At 37.9% G+C, this 20,850-nt stretch overlaps 1 protein-coding gene and 1 non-coding gene across 8 annotated transcripts in view; both read left to right on the top strand.

Moving 5' to 3' along the window:
- Positions 1-20,850, top strand: part of FHIT (fragile histidine triad diadenosine triphosphatase) — a 1,504,176-nt gene that overhangs the window by 391,324 nt on the left and 1,092,002 nt on the right. The window lies entirely within an intron of this gene.
- LOC124906379 (small nucleolar RNA U3) lies at positions 3,524-3,740 on the top strand. Its single transcript, XR_007096343.1, has one exon. It is a non-coding gene; the product is annotated as a small nucleolar RNA U3 (small nucleolar RNA).

The following is a 20,850-nucleotide window of genomic DNA, read 5'->3' as shown; positions in this document are numbered from 1 at the left end:
TATATCATTTATATATCATATATCAGATATATCATATATATATCATATATCAGATATATCATATATATGTATCTTTTTGTTTTTTTGAGATGTAGTCCCACTTCTTCACCAGGCTGGAGTGCAATGGCACAATCTCGGCTCACTGGAACCTCCGCCTCCCAGGTTCAAGCAATTCTCCTACCTCAGTCTCCCCAGTAGCTGGGATTACAGGCACGTGCCACCACACCTGGCTAATTTTTGTAGTTTTAGTAGAGACAGGGTTTCACCATGTTGGCCAGGCTGGTCTTGAGCTCCTGACCTCAAGTGATCCACCCACCTCAGCTTCCCAAAGGGCTGGGATTACAGGCATGAGCCACCGTGCTCGGCAAAAAAAAAAAAAAAAAAAAAAAAAAAAAAAAAAAAAAATCGTATTCAGAATCCACTGCAAATGTTTCTGAAGGGTGGCTCTCCTAGGAGGTTCTTAGGTAGGATCCAGGTTCTTTCCATCCTGTAGCTCTAAATTCTTTAACAAGTAGCCTTCAGGGTGCCTGAGAAGGGAAAAGGAGAGTGAGGAGTAGAGTCTAGAGGATTTCTGTAGGCCCATCCAGGAAAGGGTGTACATCACTTCTGCCACATTCCATTGATCGGAACTCAGTCATTTGGACCCACGTAACTCCACTGAAGCTTGGAAATGCGGTCTACCTGTGTGCATGGGTGGAAATGCGGTCTACCTGTGCACATGGGTGAATACTAATAATCTCTGCTAGAAAAACTGAAAACAGCAGCAAAACAATATTAATACCATTAACATCTAACATTTATTAAGCTCTTCTGTGCACGCATAGTAATTTACCTGATATAGCTGAGACTCAAAAAGGTTGAATACCTTGCCTAAGTTTATGAAGAGGTCTATGAGGAGCCCAGAGATGAACACAGGTCTGCTTCGTTCCAAAAAACATGTGCTTAACCACTATTCGATACTCCTATTGGGATAGGAATTGAATACTGCTCTTAGTGGGGCTTTATTTTTATGAAATAGAAACAAAAGCTGTAAATACCACAAATGCAGAATGTTCTAGACTTCCAGAGCCGCTAAAACAATTCTTCCTAAAGAGCTGGTGAAATCCTTTTTAGGGAATATCAATATACAGATTGCATTCCAAGTTTTTGTCTGGATCAAAGATGAATAGACAGGGAGAGATGAATGTCCTGGGGGAACACTATCATGGTGCTTTTTAAATCATCCTGTTGCACTTAGGCATTGCAGCCTGTGATTATATATATTTCAGATAAGTTTTCTGTAGTCCAGAGGGATTGCTAGCCAAGGTAATGAGCACTGCTAGGAATCTTGACAGCAAACTGTAAATGGTCTCAATGCCACAGACTTTCAAGAAACTGGGACCTTCTTGAAGTGAATGGCTATTTCTGTCCTATTTAAGTAATTCATTCTCATCTGTCTCCGATTAGTGGTGAGCCTTGTGTCATATGTGATAGTTATAATAAGGCACTTACCAAAACTTCCTTTTAAGGGTGGAAGGCATTTTGGGTTTGATTGTCATGGAGCAAGGTAGAAGAAAGAAGCCCTCACTTCATAAAAGGCCACACTGGTAGACAAAGCAATATGAAGGGGTGTAATATGTGAACAGAGTTCACAATCTTCCTTTAGAATGAAAGTGCAGCGGTTTCCTGGAATGTTTTAATCGAGTTTTCAGGGTCTGAAAGCTGACCATACATGTGATGGTTCTGAATGCTGCTCCCTTCATTATCGGCCTCTGCTTTGACCATGTTATAGCACACAATTCTCAGTGAGTTCTCTATTTTGTGCCATTGAAATGGGAACTTCTAATTTTACTGCTTAAAAGTGTGTTTTTCTTTTTAGTAAAATCAAGCCTGTTCTTTTTTCCTGTCTCCTTCTCTGTGGAATACTGCCTTTCTCTATTCATTTGCTTACAAGAGAATCTGCACTATCATACTGGTTAGATCTTTAAGTACTCATTAAGTGTTCATTGCATACACACCATGTGTCAAGCACTGTGCTAGGCACTGGGCTGGAGTAGTGACCAAGACAAACATGGACCTACCTGATCATAAGGAAGTCATGTGCTCAGGTGAGCACTAGTACTTTTTGCCACAAATAACAAAACAATAACACCCATAGTAATACTACCTAACAATTGTTAAGCTCTTATAGGCTAGTGATCCAGTTGATTTATTTTTCCTTTTAAGAGATGGAATCTTAAAAAGCCCAGGCTGGAGTGTAGAGGCATGATTATGGCTCACTGCAGCCTTGAACTCCTGGGCTCAGTTGATCCTCCTGCCTCAGCCTCCCAAGTAACTAGAACTACAGGCATACATCACCATATCCACCTATTTTTTCATTTTTTGTAGAGATGGAGTCTTGCTTTGTTGCCCAGGCTGGTCTTGAACTCCTGGCCTGAAGTGATCCTCCCACTTTGGCATCCCAAAGTTGGGATTACAGGCATGAGCCACCAGGCCCAGGAGCAGTTGTGTTTATATTCTGTCTCAGATGTTGATGGGCAGAACAATAAAGAACTCTTTATAACATTTATTGCATGCTAACTCTGTGGCAAGCACTGGGATGAAAGCTTTCCATGTATTATCTAATTTAATCCTCACAAACCCTTATTGAAAAGCTTTTGTCATTATCCCCATTTTAAAGATGAGGAAACTAAGGTTTATAGGGATTAGAGGGATTATATCACCTCACACAGCTGATAAGTAGTGAAGCTGGGCTGTCAAATGCTGTCTGATACCTTAGCTTGTGCTCTAAACTCAGTTGTACAAAATCATGGAACATGATAGGGAGGACACTGATTTTCCTTTGATGTCTAAGTAAAATAGTAAAAGGTATACCCCAGCCATTAAACCACTCTGAGTAACTTTTTTCTATTCTTATTATTTTACCATGAGTCTGTTTTTCATACATGCCCTTGAACTATTAGAATCCCCCCTCCCAAGATGGCATCCACACAATGGTAAATTACACCTGGCCATTTATTGTATGTATGTTCAGGCTTGTTACACATCAGAAAGAGACAGACATGATCCTTGCCTTTATGGATCTTACAATGTAAAGGAGAAGAGAGTCAATCAATCACAAGTGTGATGAGTATTATAAAAAAGGAAGCTGAGTGCTATGGCAAGTATATCACATTGGGAAGGTAACCTGGTTTTGGAGTGGGGCATGGTTGTGGATAATCTCCATGTGGAGTGAAGTACAATCTCAGAAGCCAAGTATGAGTAGGCATTAGACCAGTGAAGAGGAAGTCCAGGATGTTACATGGTTTTGAGGCCTGAGAGAGTACAATAGGGTCCACGCACTGAAGAAGTTGTCAGGTGGGAGCATAGAGAAGGCAGAGTGTGGTGGGAGATAAAGACAGTGAGGCAGGCAGGGATGGACAATGAAGGCCTTGTGGATTGTGACAAGGTTTTAGGATCTTATCATGGAAGCAGTAGTGAGCCACTGAAGATCTCTGGGCAGAGTGGGAACAGGAAATATTTGGATCTTTAAAAGATCACTTTGAAGATTATATTTCCAGGGGTCATTTCTGTGGTTCATTACTTAAAGGAGTTTCCCCAAGTGTGTAGAGCACTGGAAACCACAGGAAGATATGCAATGTTCTCTCCCGAGCACGAAGCTCGTTCTTGGTGTTGCTTCATTGCAACTGCCATTTGCCATTGATCATTGTTTTTTTCTTCCTTTGGGGAGATTAAGAGGAAGAGGACACAGTCTGAGTGATCTTCATTTTAAAAAAAATCTCTTTGGCTGCAGTATGCAAAAGGAGTTAAACTGAGGAAAACTGGAAGCCTTGGAGTAGGGTTATTGCCATTCTGCTATTCTGAGATTTGGTGAATCAACCCCCTTTCCCCCCCAGATCTGTGCCTTTTGCAATTTTGAAGACGTATGTCAGGGCTCACCCCACCTCTGTCTAGCAAGAAGCAACTTTATCTGCCTCGAATGCATTACCATTTTGGTTGATGGCCTCTGAACGTTTTCCATCACAGTCTTCTGCCTCTCCTCCATATTCTTTGCTAAATAACATGTTGGGAATGGTCTCCTTGTCTTCCACATCAAATAATTTAACTGAAACACCATCATAATTACAACTTAATTTCTCTCATTCAAACAGAGGTGATGCATCTTCTCCCCAAAATAAAAGCCTCCTTAAGCTTACACTCTCACACTCCATAACATGGGTGTTTACAAGGTTCTTTGCTTTTCTTGCTTGTTGTTACGTCTTTTGAATTGGATTCACCCTCATTGTAACTCATTCATCTTGTCAGTCTTAAATTAAGAGTTCCTTAGGGCTGGAGAGAGGGAAACATATATCCTTCTAGGCTGTGGAAAGTACACTACAGAACACTAGAACTTTAAGGGAGTCCCACAGGGATACGACAATGAATGTAGTTTTGTAGTCACTCTTGAATATACTCTTGGCCCATAACACATGGAAGATGATGTTAAGATAGTATGTGAGTTCTGAATGCTTTCAGCTGCCTGTAACAGAAAATTAAAGTGATAGTGCTGAAATCACAGGGATATTTATTACTATGAGAAAACAGGAGGTAGAGGATCCCAGGGTTAGTTTGGCAACTCAGTAATATCATAAAGGACCCAGTGTCTTTCATACTCAGGCTCTTTCCTCTTTTGGCTATTGCCTCATGGTCACAAGACGGCTTCTACAGCTCTAAGCACAAAGCGTTAACATGACAGCATCTAAAACAGGAAAGAAGAGGCATATGAAGAAAAGGCTTTCTCCTCTTGCAACTATGACTTTTTACCAAAGGTGAAAAATCTTTCATGAGTCCCCCCAGTGTATGTCCACTCATTGGTTAGATCTAGGTCACATGCCTACTACTGAATACCAATCAATGGCAAAAGAACATAGTATCGCCATGATTGGGTTAGACCAGTCATTATTCATTATCTAAGGCTAAGCACATGCTGCCCGTCAGAATTTGGGTTTTGTTATCAGAGAAGAAGGAGAATACATTTTGTCACATTTGGATTAAGAACAGAAAACCATAACACTTCTAAATGGTGTTCTAAGAGGAATACCATAGTAGGAAATTTCAGAGATGAGGAAATGAAAGCAAATGAGATGACTGACTCCCTAGTTCCCTGGCACAAAAGAGATCTTGAGTAATTCCCTGAACCTCCCTAGATAGGAAGAGGCACTTAGCCATGTCTGCTCACCACAAATACTTGTGTATGGTAGGCATTGGTTGTTCCCTTCCTAAGATCCACTTTACATCCATTCTTTCCTAACAGAAATCTGATTTTGTTTGGAGCAGCAATGCTCAGCTCATATCCAGCTTCCCACACTCTCTTACAGTTAGGAAAGACTGTATGACCCATTTGTGGCTGGGCAGATGTATGTGGAAGTCACTGGATGGAACTTTCTGGAAAGCTTTTAGAAAGAGACTGACTTGGCTGGCATCCTCTTTCCCCTTTGCCTTTCCCCCTCTTCTTGCCTAGGGAGAATGTGTCAAACTTGGAGATCCAGCAGCCGTCTATGACAATGAAAGTGAAAGCCTCACTGAAGGACAGCAGAGGAAAAAAAAAAAAAAAATAGAAGTAGGCTGGGGCATTCATGACACCATGAGATACCAGCTCAGTGTCAGATTATACCTTCAGACATCTTGTTGCATGAAAAACAAAACAAAATATGCACACATGCATATCCGGAAAAGAAAGCTTTCTGTGTTTAAATCACTGTTGGGCTGTTGGTTAGCTAGATTGCAATTAATGCATCTGAAAGCAATCCCAAGTGATACACCTTCCAAAGCTAAAAACACTGAATAAGACAGTGAAGATGCATTTAAGTATTACTAAGTGCCAAAGGAAATGTAGGAAGCTTTGTATGAGAAAAGTTAGGGAAAGAGAGGAAGTGAAAAATACAATTGGTCTGATGTGGCCATGAAATGTCCTGGTGTTGGAACACTTTGAGCTTACTCTATCAGTGTTACCATATGCTTGTGGGATATGATACCCAGGTGGCCAGATGATTTGGAGGAACCACAACCCAAGAAGTTTACATTCTAGTCCCACTGGTGAATCTGAACATTTACACTTCCTTCAACCTGGGTATTATGTTTTAGGCATTTGGATATTATGCTTACTTTTGTTTGGTGTTTACGGTTTTTCACAGTAAGGTAATCAGGACTCAAATTAAGTTTTACATGAAGACATCTTTGCAGTGTTACTAAGGACACCAAAGGGACTATGTTTAACAAATCTTGGGAAAAATCAGGTGTTTTTGTGTATGTGGAACATTTAAATACATTGCAGTTGAATGTTAATGCAAAAAAATAAAGCTTTATTGTTGGTGATTACACTGCAAAGAAAAAGAGTACTTATGTTTCTTTCAGGATTTGCAGGTTTACTAACTAGCGGATCATTAGATAAAAGATGAAATGAAGCAGAGATCACAACTGCCATTAAGTCAGCTGGCACTTTATCTTAAAGGCAGAATTGCACTAAAATACACCAGATATCCTCAAATACAAAGGTGAGGTTTGCTTCCCCCTGAATTTATTATCCCTCAGAAGAGACGACCTTGCTTTATATTTGGGTCCTTTCAAATACTGCTTTAGGAAGTCACAGTGGGCTGAAGTGGCTTCACCCAAGGTTTGTTTTGGGTGCTCGTGAAGGTCATCTGCTAGGATCCATAAAAGAGGAGCAGGGAAATTGAACACAGTTAGTCATGATTCCAGGGGCTATGACTTCACAATTCCAACTGTTGGATGTTGTTCCAAACAGCGATTTTGAAAAGTCTATTTAAAAAGCAATACAAGAGACAAATACATCATAGACATCAAAATATATACCTGTTCAAAGAAATATTTTTATTTAGAAGAAAAAGCTGCTAATATTATATAAATAGGTACTTGTGCCTTCAGAGACAACTTTCAGAAACACCATCATACATGATTCAAGGAGTGTCCTGTTTTGAACCAAGGGAAGAAAACTCAGTTGGAGTTTTGTGGAAAACTCTGGAAAACTCAGTTGGAGGGCTAAAAAGGAGGCTCTTATATGGTGGAGATGCTCACATCAGAATTTGAATAAACCATGTGTTGAGATGCTCACATAAGAATTTGAGTAAAGTACATGTTTTTAAGTATCCAATTAAATTAATGAAATAAAAAGTATAGGTAGATATTTAACTATGTGTTTCATATCCCTATATGTTTATATGTATAAGCTGTCCATTCTGCCTTTTGAAATTTGTTTAATATTTTTACTGAAAAAATGGAATATTTCTTTTTTTGAAAAAATCTTGATTTTTAGGGGATAGGGTCTCACTATGCTGCTTAGGCTTGTCTCAAACTCCTGGTTTCAAGCAGCCTTCCCACTTTGGCCTCCCAAAGTACTGAGATTACAGAGGAATATTTCTTTTTTTCAAGACTGCCTTATATTTGGCATTAGTAACTACTCTTTTCAGTTTATTCTCACTATATCCTTTCTTGATACATTAAATTTTAATATAATATACAAAGTTTTAAGTGCCTAAAAGAGTTCTAGAGCGAGTGATGGAATGACATATGGCAGCTCATGAAAAAATATTACATACTTCATAAAGAGACATGCAGTTAGGTGCCAGACTGATGAAGAAAGTTGTTCATCTTTGGATTTGGGTTTGGGTTTAATACTTGCATTTGGGTTTTTATTTGGGTTTAATATTTGTATTAGTCAGGGTTCTCCAGAGAAACAGAATCAGTAGGATGTGTGTATCCATATGTATAGAAAGAGATTTATTATGAGAAGTTGGCTCTTGTGACTATGGAGGCTGGCAAGTCCCCAGATCTGGCATTGGCAAGCTAGGGACCCAGGAGACCCAATGGTGTAGTTTCTGTCCAATGATCAACAGGCTTGAGACCCAGGAAGAGCCAGTGTTTCAGTTAGAGTCCAAAGGCAGGACACAATCAGTGTCCCAGCTGAAGACTATCAGGTAAGAGGAGTTTCCTCTTTCTTGCATGAGGGTCAGCTTTTTTTTGTCCTAATCAAGCCTTCAGCTGATTGGATGAAGTCCACACACATTAGGGAGGGCAATTGCTTTACTGCATCTGTTGATTTAAATATTAAAAGTGTGTCCAAAGCACCCTCACAGCCATACTCGGAATAAAGTTCGACCAAATATCTGGGCACCTCATGGCCCAGTCAAGTTGATACATAAAATTTATCATCGTGACACTTATAGAAATGTGGACTTTGCTTTTTTTCTTTTTTCAGGATTTATATCAAGGCTACTTTCAAAAAATATGTATAAAATATTACAAGTTTAACTATACCATAGAAAGACTCAGTACTGGCTTGTTTTATTTTGATTTTTTAAATTGAACTTGTAAGGCAATTCTTGAGGGAACTTCCCTGAATATAATAATCTGTCTATATTGTTGATAGACTGCATTAATGGGGTCTATGTGACATGATAAAGTTCTGTGGGGCTGGCATCTTTTGTTTTTTGAGAAAGACTTTATGACATAAATGAGTGATCTTAAATATAATTGAGTTGCACCTTGTGTGCATTGAACTTTTGCCAATTTAATCACACAGAATTGGCCAAAAAAGTGAGAGTAGGAAGTACTGATGTAAATAATATAGGTCATTCTGTTAGACGTTCCCCTCAATGAATATATGCCTCTTAGAAAATGTGAGATGGGTTCTGGGAGTCATTCTCATTTTCCTGAACCTCTTAGTGTGAGCATCTTAGTGCTGAGTGAGATTCCAGTGTTGACATTTTCTGTTATATATGAAAAAATATATGCCTAGTAAATTCACACCAATGACTTCATCTGATCCTTGATCAAAGAAGGATCTGTTCTAATGCTAGAGGAAAGCCTCTATTGGACCTCCTGAGAATCTGTACCATATTTTATTCTGTGGGGGAATTAAAGAGATTTCCAAGAGACTTTCTAAGCTCTGACTTAAAAACTATCTTCAATTTAAGATGCCACTCAGCTATCTTTGGTCTGGGATTGTGGCTTTCTTAACAGTAAATGTTAACTACTAATGTTTTCAAGAGCATTATAATTTTAGGTTTGCTCTTTTAAAAGAGTATTTCTCCTCCCTCCTCCTGGAGATGATCTGGAATGCAAATGTGAGCTTTCCTTTGTGTATGTGTGTATATGGGAGTGAGTGTAAAAGGTTTCTTTGAAACCATCCCTGTGGGTAAGAAAGGCATCTAGCCACTCTCTTATAGGTATGTGGGGACATTCACTTAGCTGTGTGCCTTATACCAGGGTTTACTGAAAAATACCAATAAGGTATACTGAATAAGATGCTATTCAAAGTAATGAGTAGGTTATATAAATTCTGCTTAGAGAAAAGAAATTTATAAGATAAAGACACCTCATCTGAAAGTGTGAAAGCCTTCAGTATAGCAGCTGGTGTTCTGGGTCAGCTGAGGAGAGGAGCTTTATAAAGGAATTCATTGGACCTGGTTGGCCATAGGACATGGCAGGTGTGCATCTACTTTGGACAGGCACCTGGCTCTGGATAAACAAGTGGTGAGCACAATACCTTTTTGTCTTCATGGTGTTTTAATAAGTGTGTTTGGGAAGGAGGTAGGGATGGGCAACAAGCAAATAAAGAAGAAAGTAATGGGATGCAATGAGAGCTATTAACAAAATAAAAGATTAATGTAATGGAGTGAGTTGGTGGGAATGAGGAGTCTGCTTTAGACTGGATAGTCAGGGAAGGCCTCTCTGAAGAGATAACATTAGAGCTGAGACCTTAGTGATTTAAAGATGCAGAGCATGAGAGAGAGAGAGAGAGAGAGAGAGAGAGAGAGAGAGAGAGAGAAGTGCAGACACAAAGGCCCTAACATGGAAATGGCAACAAAGTACCACCCACTTTATTATTAGTTGCACCTGTGCCCAATACCTTCCAGTGTAGAACACTGATAAAGGTAGGTACTTTAGATTGGATAGTCAGCGAAGGCCTCTCTGAAGAGATAAGATTAGAGCTGGCAGAGGTCTTAAATGGGACTTCCTAAATGCCCCCTCAAGCAAATAGCATGCTTAAGAATTCTGAATGGGGGCCTGTGAGGGGATGGGGAAGAATGAAAGTGTTGAGATAAAAACAAGAATCCCTGACATCGCCTGGGCTCATGGATGCTATTGCCTCAAATTAGAAAGAAGGCAGGAAAGAGGGAAGGAAATAGTTAGCCTGACCTGAGAGATTAGAGTTTTTTCAACTTAGAAGAGAAGAAGTAGAAGTGGGGGAAGTCACGTTTATTGTATAGTGACCATGCCACTTAGTAAATAAGACTCCATATGCTTGAATTTGATCAATTACATTAGGAATTGCTCCTTGGAGAGACATGGGATATAGGGAGAGAGAGAGAAAGCATGGCAAGCCTATTTTCTACCTATTTTCATACCTATTTTAAGGGTGAAGACTCCAAGTGCATAGGTAAGAAATTTGCCCAACAGGTAAATGGCAGAAATGGCATTTAGAAGCAGGTCTGTTTGATACCAAAGTAAATCAGACTGCTCTTTTTAGAGATCAGATCGGAATCAATCAATTTTTCATTCTCATGCTCTGAAAGAATTTACTTATCTTCCAAAGTAAAAACCTCACTTACTCTGTTGGATCGGAGCTAATTATTTTCATGGTTTCATTTAGATATTTGGCTTTATTTTTGAAATCATAATAATTTTATATATATATATATATATATATTTCATTTTTGTATTAACAAAAGTCCTGTAGGGAAATGACAATTTTATTCTCTTTGGGTTGAGAGGTAGATGTCTCATTGTTCAGTCTGTTCCTATGGAAAGAATTGACAACAATCCTAAATGGTATAATCACACATCTACGTTGGTACACGGAAGGGCCAAAAGCCAAATAGTATTCCTTGTCAAATTTCTTTGCTTTCATTCTCATTCTCTCTGTCTCTCCCTCTCTCCCTTCTCTTCCCTTTCTTCCCAGTCTCTTAGCAAATATCTACTTCTTGTTCTTCCCTTATATAAAAGGTTAACATGTGAAAATCTAGTTATAATTACATGGTTTTCCCTTTCAGGAAATGGTTTTGCAACTATTGATAAAAATATTCAGTCTGCATGGATAACTATAGTAAATATACTTTAAAAGGAATGTATTTTCTGAAATAGAGGCTCATAATGTTATATCCAAATTTATAACTGATTACCTATTCCTTTGGTTTCAAATCTATGTTTGTCCCTAGTTTTCAATTTCAATTTTAAAGTGTTTAGTAACTTCTCAAGTATGTAGACATGGAATTGGGTGGTATTTGGGAGTAACATCTACTTAAGGTCAGCTTGATGAGCTTTCTTGGAAAAAAAATCCATTATATACAAAATTTTAACTCATAACAATAAAAAATAGCTACCAGTTTGAATGCTTACCACCTGCTAGACATTGTGTATATTTTACAAAGATTACCTCATTTCATCTTTATAACAATATGGTGAGGTAAGTATCTATATTCTTATTTTTCAGATAAGGAAATCAAAGCTCAGGAAAGTTAAATGACTTACTCTAGGTTGTATTCAAATTAAGTGCCAGAGGCTGGATTTGAACCCATATCTGTCTGACTCCAAAGCCTGGACCTCCAATTTTCTGAAAACACTGAGTTGAAATCTTCAGGGGTTGAAGGGTGGCCATCTTTGAAGTTTTGGGCATGGGTTGAAAGAATGTGCTGTAACTCTAGTCATCATCTTGCAAAGTGATAAAACCTACAGCTGAGATCTGAGACCTGGAGCCATGACTTTCCAAAAGTCTAAAAATCTCCTTTTAGTTAAAATTGCAAAAAAATTATCTTAAAAAGTACAATTTGATAGTAAAGTTCTCAATAGTTTCTAAATGAAAACCCCTGTAAATGTAGAAGAACTGTGCTTAAGGCCCAGGAGGGCATAGAAATGAAAGGTAGAAATAAAAGAGTTTCAACTTAAAGGAAATAAAAGAAAGCTAAACCATCTTATGAAAAATAATTGGAAGCAGATTTCAATAAAGGAAGAGGGATGGAAAATAGACTAATGCCAAAGGGGAACTGAAGACAATGATGTCTGGATTCAGTCATTTGGGAGCTGCCTAGAGGCCACAGCCATTGGCACTCCATAAATTTGTGATGGTATGCAGCAATAAGTAGGAAGTGCAAACTAGGGGAAAGAGGAAAAGGAAGTGACTGAGTTGCATTGCACCATAAATTCAGGAGTAACATATTCTCTCTACATATGTCAAGGATAAAATTGTGCTTCAAGTTCTTTATTTCATTTGGCATACTTTATTCCCATAAAGAAATACCCTGGAGGGAGTTCATACGGGGACCAAAAAAAATGAGTGTATCACAGAAATGTCGACTAATAGGAAAATTCATTTGACTTTCCTTCTTCCTGTGGTTTTACCACAGGCAGAAATTTCAAGGTAAGGAAGAAGAAAAGAAGAAAGGGAGGAAGGAAAGGAGAAGGGACGGAAAAGGATTCCAGTTTCTGAATTTTTGTGGCATCCTACTGTAAGTGGCAGTAAAAGGGGCTTGTGGGTGTATTTTCCAAGATAAGAATGAATGGATAACATGAGTTCATGTGCTTTCCTGGGAGAGTTGATAGGGATGCTTTTTTTGGAAAAGGGGATCTCCTCATTTGATAGCCCTGTGATTTGAGCCTGATGTGCTGTTAAGGCTTGGGAAAGGTAGCCCCAGTCAGGGGTCCAATCTTCTGCAATGTGATCCAAGCATAAAGAAGTGCTTCTGTGTGCAGTGGATTCACCATATGCCCACTTAGGAACCCAGCATCAGGTGTAGATCTTCACCATGCCTAAAATGTGCAAGCAACAGCTGTTCAGAGGTACCCTAACTGGAAATGCCATCTTGGAAAGAAAAGGTGCAGGTTGTCATATTCTTCTCTACAGGATTTTAAAGAGCAATGTGTTTGTGGGTCTGATGAAACAAGAGTTAGATTAAAATGTAGCACCCTATTGAGTATCTGCTCTGGACCAGACCCTGTGGATGATGCTTTTGCTTATGAAATAAGGTTATCAGCCAGGCTCATTGGCTCATGCCTTTAATCCTGGCACTTTGGGAGGCCAAGGTGGGTGGATCACCTGAGGTCAGGAGTTCAAGACCAGCCTGGCCAATATGGTGAAACCTTGTTTCTACTAAAAATACAAAAATTAGCTGGGCTTTGTGGTGCATACCTGTAATCCCAGCTACTCGGGAGCCTGAGGCAGGAGAATTGCTTGAACCTGGGAGGCGGAGGTTGCAGTGAGCTGAGATCATGCCACTGCACTCCAGGCTGGGCGACAGAGCAAGACTCCATCTCAAAGAAAAAAAAAAAGAAAGATTATGTTACTTAATCTTAACAATGACAAATACATCCATTAATGCATATGTCCAAGTTATGAAATGTGAATATTAAAACAGTGGAATAAGCCCTGTTGGAGGGTTTACAGCTTTGCACTTCATCACCTACCTGATAAAAACTCAGAGGTGGAGATTTGCTAGTTTCTTAAAGAAGAGGTTGTTTGAATACCCTAATATCTGTAGGTGGACTTTTCTTTGCTTCCTTCTTTATTCTAACTCAACTGATTTTCTCAAATATTCACTGTCAGTCTTGAATACACAAAGCAATGTAACTTGCACCCTACAGGTGATTAAAGTGATCTTCAATGGTAAGTTTGACTATATGCAACATTTACCTTAGGCTCCGGCTTTAGAACTCAAATCCTCTCCCTTAGGATATGACTTTGCTATATTTGTGTATAGGTTATTTAGATCCTTGGGAATGTCTTGAAGTTTGTGTTTCCTACATACCTAAATGTGTTTCTAACTCCTACATTCTCTCTTATTGTTTCACATATGCTCTTGCTTTGTGGTACATCTTTTTTAGAGACAGATATCATTTACAAATATATAATACATTAGGCAGAAGGGTGATAACCTTTTAATTTAGCTTCAGGTTTTAAAATTTTATGTATTGCCTTAAGAATAGGGCATGCTGTATTATGTAGTGTTGCTCTCTAACAATGTAGCTAAGCTGTTAAAGACAAGCAGAGCCCTCAGATTCCAGCTGAGGTTCAGTCCACGTTTTTCTGGGCAATCTATCTATATAGAAAAGGAATAAAGCCGTAAGTGCTTATGACTTTCTTAATAATCTTATGCAAGAGGCTTATCATACAAGTTACAAGGTTTTCTTTTATTTTTCTCTGATACCTTTGTTTAGATATGTTGCCAATGGTTTAAAACTGCATTACTATGTATCAGCCATTACCTCTTATGTATTTGACACTGACAGACATTTTCACTCCAATGTTTTCATATAAATTTATTAATTACTCAAGCAGTCTTTGAGGTTGTCCCAGACATCGACCTGTGAGTTAATGGTGAAATTTCATTTACAGCAGGCTGAGAGCTCTTGAAAATTTATGGGATGATCAAGTTTATTTCTGGGGTATGTGTGTTTATGACATGTAAAGGTAACTGAAGTCTGCATATGAAATAATCAGCATCAGAATTGGAGGATATTTGTATAACCTAAATAAATTCTGGGGCCCCATGTGGTTCAATCTTAAGATAGCATCGCAAGTGAAATAATTAAAAAATAAATCTAAATTTTATTTTTACCTCTCCAAGAATTTTGAAAACTATTTTATGCATTACACATGGCAACTGTCCTTAAAATTCCCTGTTATCTTTTTTCTTCCTGGTGATCTTTCTCTCTGTGCTCTGCTCAGAAGCCAGACGTTGTCTCTCTCTTAATCATTTACCCTTAAGTAGCTATGGTAGTTCTATTAAGTCTGCAGCCTTAGTTTTTTGGTTTTTTTTTTTGTTTGTTTGTTTGTTTTTAGTTTACTCCTACCTTTCTAATTATTTTTTTCTTATTGTTCACATAATTCTGCATCACAAAAAAAATTTTATTTTTTAAGAAAGTGGATTAAGGGGAAAGGCTAAAAAAATTAATTTGTGGGGAAATGGAAAGCTTGGAACACTAACATTTTTACAAAATTTGCCCTTAATATATTTAAACATTGATTAAATACAATTCTTATTAAATTCATTGTTAGAACCAAGCTTGGAGTAAAGAATTATGAATTCCTTTGAAAATAAACTTCATATTCAGAATGAATTTAATAAATAGAAGTAGTAGAAGCCAAAAATAATGGGATTTATTAATTTAGAACAAATCTAGAGTAGACTATCAGAAAAAATCCAGCAGATCACATGATTGTAACATAGTTAGTGAATAAATATGCACCCTCAGGGAAAATGATCAGGGGGTCATAGGGGACCAAGAATAATAAGGCAGCTATGTAGCGCTAATGAAGAGCAAGCTGAATTCAGAAATAAATCAAGAAAATGAAAAACATTTTCTTTACTTCATATTAAACCTGTATAGACATTTCTAGTTCTTGTCCTGATTTGAAAGGGATTCAGAAAAATTTCAAGTAAGTTTGGAAGATTGTCACAAATATGATTAATTACATATGAAAGGAAAAAGCCAAAGTGTGATTTTTATGAGAAGAAAACCATTAGCTACCTTTGCACTTTCACTTGTGGCATTAAGAAAGAATTGATTTATATAATAGTGAAGCATATTTGGTTAGTCATTGGGGAAAATTATCACATGAAATTAAGTGGCAGAAATTTTTTTTTAAAAAAATAGAAAATGTGTTGAATCACATTCTGGGGAAGTCTTAGGAAACAGGTTTTATCATCGGGCCTTTACAACTGTGGAGGCAGGAAAAAGAATGCTGTGGGTTTATGTGTGTAGGGTTTTTTCCTGCCCTAGAGTCAATGATTTTATGAAATACCTAAGAAAATCTATTCCCCAGGATTGCACAAAATGCCTTCATTCCTCTTGTTGATATACATGATTTATTTCTTGTTTCTGGAACTTACTACTTCTGCTTTTCACCAAAATTTTAATCGGTTACCTAATCAATAAACTTTTCTCCTGTTTGTCTCATTTAACATTTGTCCAAATCAGAATGGGTGAATAAGATTCTACTAAACACTATAGTATGCCTTTGTATTATTTATAAGGTATTTGCTAAGCTCTGTATTTCCTTGGAGAGAGTTAACTTTTTCCAACAAAATTATATTAAATCATAAGTGCTCTTGCCCTATTTTGAAATCAGTGGCATGTCTTTAAGATATATATCCAAGCTCTATTTTTCACTGCTATTTCTCCCTCTTGATTACCAGAAATACATACATGCGTGCTTGCCTTACCCCTAGAGTGTCAGGATTGAGGTAGCCTGTAAATTAACTTTATTTCTTAGAAATATGCAGCAATCATATACTCTACCCAGAGCCCACCTATAGTTACCTGCGTTGGACAAGAAGAGAAGGATGAACACTAGGTCATTCTCTCCTGCTTATCATGGTGTGCTCGTGTCTTTCATTAACACAGAGAAAAAGAAATTCATGATAGGCTTTCCTTCATTTCATTTCAAACAAGTATAGGATTTTTACTATGCTTGCAAGAAATTATATTTGGAGAAGCAGCCTGTGATATCAATAGGTAAGTTTTCTAGTTATCCAGGTGTCCCTGCTGTTAGCCTTTTAAATTTCACTTTGGGAGCAAATGCTCAAAAGTTTCAAAATCCAGCACAAGAACACATAGACTGAAGGAATGTTCTTCTGGTTGCTTTAGAGGGCAAAGTATTTCCAAGACATGCAAGGCTCTTTTGGTTAGGATCATAGAAATGATAATTTTGTCTCTAGGTGGCATTTATAAGAAACTATTTATAGTGGTGGAAGTCTCTCTCTGACTGTGTTTTTATTTAGCATTTTTCTAAAAGATAGATTTGTATCTTGATATTATTGGAACATAATAAGGTACTTATTTCACTTCTCTTTTGTGAGAAAAAAACCTGTCGTATGAGACTTTCCAGCCTCTGGAACCACCTGAATGCCTCGGTCAGCTTCATTTCAGCCCCAAAGTCAGAAAGAATTCTCTGTGGTTCTCCTTTTTAGCTTGTGGTTCCCAGTCCTAACTCACCTTCACATTGCCTGGGGAGTTTTTAAACTCCATTCCTACGTGAATTTTAAACTGTATTCCTTTCTTTCTTACTTTCTGCAGACAGACCTGATGCACAGCCTGCTGTGGAATGCCTCACCACAGGACACTCAGATGCAAATAAATCTTTGGTATATCTATGATAGATTATATCTATCTGATATATCAGAAAGATGCCTGGTAGATTTGACCAGTCTGGAGATAAGAATAGTGGGGAACCCTAAGTACTTAATAGCACCCCTGACAATTTTAAGGGGTACTTCTATAAAGAACCATGTCTTCCCAGCTGGGATGGATAGCACAGTAGTACGGGTGATCCTCTGCTCCTAAACCACAGGACTGTGTGTAAAATCCTTTGGATAGCTTAAGCTAATGATTTCTCCTTTAGATATCTTGCCCACATTAACTTGAATGATCACACCTTAATCTTATGTGGACTTTCATTTTTTAAAGGCCTGTCTCCTTTGCCTAGCAAGGGAAAAAAAAAAAAAAAAAAATATATATATATATATACACTCATATATATATGTATATATATATACACTCATTTAATTTCTCTAGGTTCTTTAATAAGCTTAAGTAACTTTCTTATCTGCTATTTGAATATCAAAGATGTTTTAAATATAAAAAATATCACATATACCTTGCGAAGAAGCCTATGGGTCCTTGGCTGCCTAGTTGATAAAATATCTCAGGTTATGAAAAGTGTTAGCAATGAGTGAATGAAAGAGCATGTTTTAGGGTGTCATTTGGGCTAAGCTAGAAAAGAAGTCACACTCTGAGTTCTTTTTTTTTTTCTGGTGGGAGATCAATACTGTCTAGACATGGTCTCATTAGGAGTTTACATTGACTAAGGCAGACTCGGATAACAGTGGGACTGTTGGTGAGATATTTGTGTTGCTCATTACTACAGAGAACTCCAGATTCACTGGTGTCAATTCTGTGCATTCCAGCATCCTTCTACTCAACTGTAGGGTTATCCGTGAGGGCAGGATATGCCCACCCATGACTTTGTCAAGATTCTGAAGCCTAGAAGTTTTGGGAACTACTCTCTAGGATGTCCTAACATGCTTGATGACAGTTGTGTAGGCCCTCGGAGCGTCCTTGGAGCACTGGAATTCCCTATGGTCTTCCAAACATAAAACCAGAGATGTAGTTCGATTCACATCTAAAGGCCTCAGCCCATCCCTGAGAGCCAGAAACTTTCCTGACATACAGCCTGCCTATTAATTTCTGCAAATAACATCTTCATGTATGGAAATATCAGAAATTTTTTTTTAATATTTAGTAGCCTTCTCAGTTCTAAGACATTTTTGTCCATTTGTATATATTTTTTTAAATTGAGGAACTTTATGATTCCTCACCTAGGACCAGAACTTAAAAGCCCTGCATCCTTTCCCTTAGGCATTCAGACTGCTAGATATGCTGCTCTGCATGGAATTTTAAATCCTTCATTTGCGGTTTCTTGTTGGCATTTTGCAAGGGACTGAAGCAATGTCTGAGCCACTAGAGGCCAGAGGTGGCCCAGCCCAACCAGGTTTCTGACAGTAAAATAAATATCTGTTATTTGTCCAGTGTCTTCACTTTTCAACTTTGGGCAAGATAAGCATAGACATTGAGAAATAATGCTGTTTATACAAAGGATTGCTCATGATAAAAGATCTCTTTCTGGGAATTTAAGTTTTCCGGTACATTAGCATTATTGATTATTTATTCTCTTTCCACATAGTCTACAGATGATTTTAGAATCCCAAGACTATTATTCTCCCTTGTCTAGTGTAATTACCAGAACAGGGAATAATCTAATTAAAAGACAACAAGGATGGGTTCTAATTGTTCTAATAAATTATGTTAACACACAGTGCATGCCGTTACTTTTCAACAGGAATTTATTTAACACATTGACAGCTTGTCCTTTACTGCCACAATCTTAGATTCCATTTCTTCTAAACAAGACAACTTACAATAGGGTAGTTAAATATTCAGAAATCTGTTGGATTGGTAAGAGAATCTAAAGATCTATGTGGTAAATACAGATGAAGAATTGGATTTTGGGTTCTCCAGATAAAATAATGACCCGAAACAGAAGAGGAGAAAATAAAGAGGAATAGAGTCTAAAGTAAAAATCAAAAACAGACTGTTGTAATAAGCTAATAAACTTTTCATTTGCTTTTCTATTATCAAGCAAAATGTACATGATAAGATGATACTAACTCATATAATTGCATTTGCTTAATTTTAGACATTTTACACAAATCTGTTAGACACCACATTGAAAACTGCATATATGAGATGGTGCCTTCAATAAAGTCATGTCATGATATGGGCAAAACTTCATTCATTACTGATAGGCCATATGTTTTTAACAGAAAACGTCAGTCTCCTTGCTTATTTGAACATAATTCAGATATAATTTGTCACATAATTATAAGAGAAAGCCCTCAAGGCAATACAGAAAAAGAAGAATGTGGGGAGAAAATAAAATCTATGTAGAGAATGAAGGAAAGTGTACAATCAATTCTAAATAAACACAGACACTCTTTACCTATTTCAGACAAGCAGATTCCCAGGTTGGCTTGTGTTATTGTCCTTGATATAAAAACCTTTGACATTTAATTAACAAGTTTACAGGTAAGTAGGGATCTTTCTCACAAGGAAAACTGGGGACTTTGTAGGAATAACTTTTCACCTCTGCAGAATTGATTCATTCACATGTCAAGTTCATCGCAGAATATGGGGCTGGCAAACATGCGGACTGTAGTTCATATTCTTAAAGCCCACTTATTTTAGAACAGCAGTCATAGAGAGAAAACAAAAAACAAAAGATACATCATGAAAGATGTGAAAATTAGAAGAAAAATCATCTTTATTAGCAAAGGAATGCCTCCCAATTTCCTCCCTATCTGCATATATCCTGGCCTGCCTGGGTGAGGATTTTTGGCTCCTTCCTCGCTGTCTATTGTATTCTAGTTCACACCTTCATTTCTGATGGGCCACTTTCATGCTTGTTTTTCTGTTTTTAAAAATGTGTCATTTCTTTCAAGGCCTTTAGGCTCTGAAGATATCTTTCCTCTAAAGAGGACTGAGTGCTAGAGAGCTCCTCACGGAGCTGAAGGACCCTCGCCACCGGGTCTAAATAAGATCAAGTCCCCTCTGAGAGGCAGCATGAAGGTGGCATGCAGTTTTAAAAAAAAAATAGTTGGACTGTAAAGGAAATAAAGACGTAGTTAAATAAGCCCTTATGTTATCACATAGACACTTTTTATTCTTCTGTTTATTTTTTTCTGTGTTTTTCTGAAACTACTTTTCACCAGAAGTGCGATAGCAGTTATGTAAATGCAGAAATCTATTCCATTTCATGTCTAGAGCCAACTCTAGATGCTTCTAAGGGGGTGGGGTGAGCTATGTGGCTGGGCAGAGGGTCAGCATAATAAACGGGAGAGGGAGAGGGACAACAAATGAGCTGCAGTCCCTAGAGGTCTTTGGGGACTGGGCATTTCTGGGGCATCGAATGTGAACTTGACATACTGTATGTAAATCTGATTTTTTTTTCTCAGCCACTGTCATTGGAAAATTTTCATTTAGTAAATAATGCAAAATATACATTAAGAAATGTTAATGTTTTGACAGACACTGACAAATGCCAGGGAATCAGAAGCAACAGGAAAGCTGAAGCACTTCACTGAATGTGCTGCCATCTAGCCATGATCTCATTGCATGCTGCTTCACTCACTGGTCACAGAGACACTGAAGTCATTCGGCAGGCAGGATGGAGTGTGTGTAAAATGGAGTGTAGAAGGCAGGGAATCGGCTGAGTCTTTTACTTTTATTGGCCATTAACACATCCTACCAGTCCATAAACTA

This window comes from Homo sapiens, chromosome 3 (genome assembly GCF_000001405.40).
Source record: "Homo sapiens chromosome 3, GRCh38.p14 Primary Assembly".
NCBI classification, from domain to species: Eukaryota; Metazoa; Chordata; class Mammalia; order Primates; family Hominidae; genus Homo; species Homo sapiens.
The sequence above is the reverse complement of the archived record's forward strand: the minus strand, read 5'-3'. Positions and strand labels throughout refer to the sequence as shown.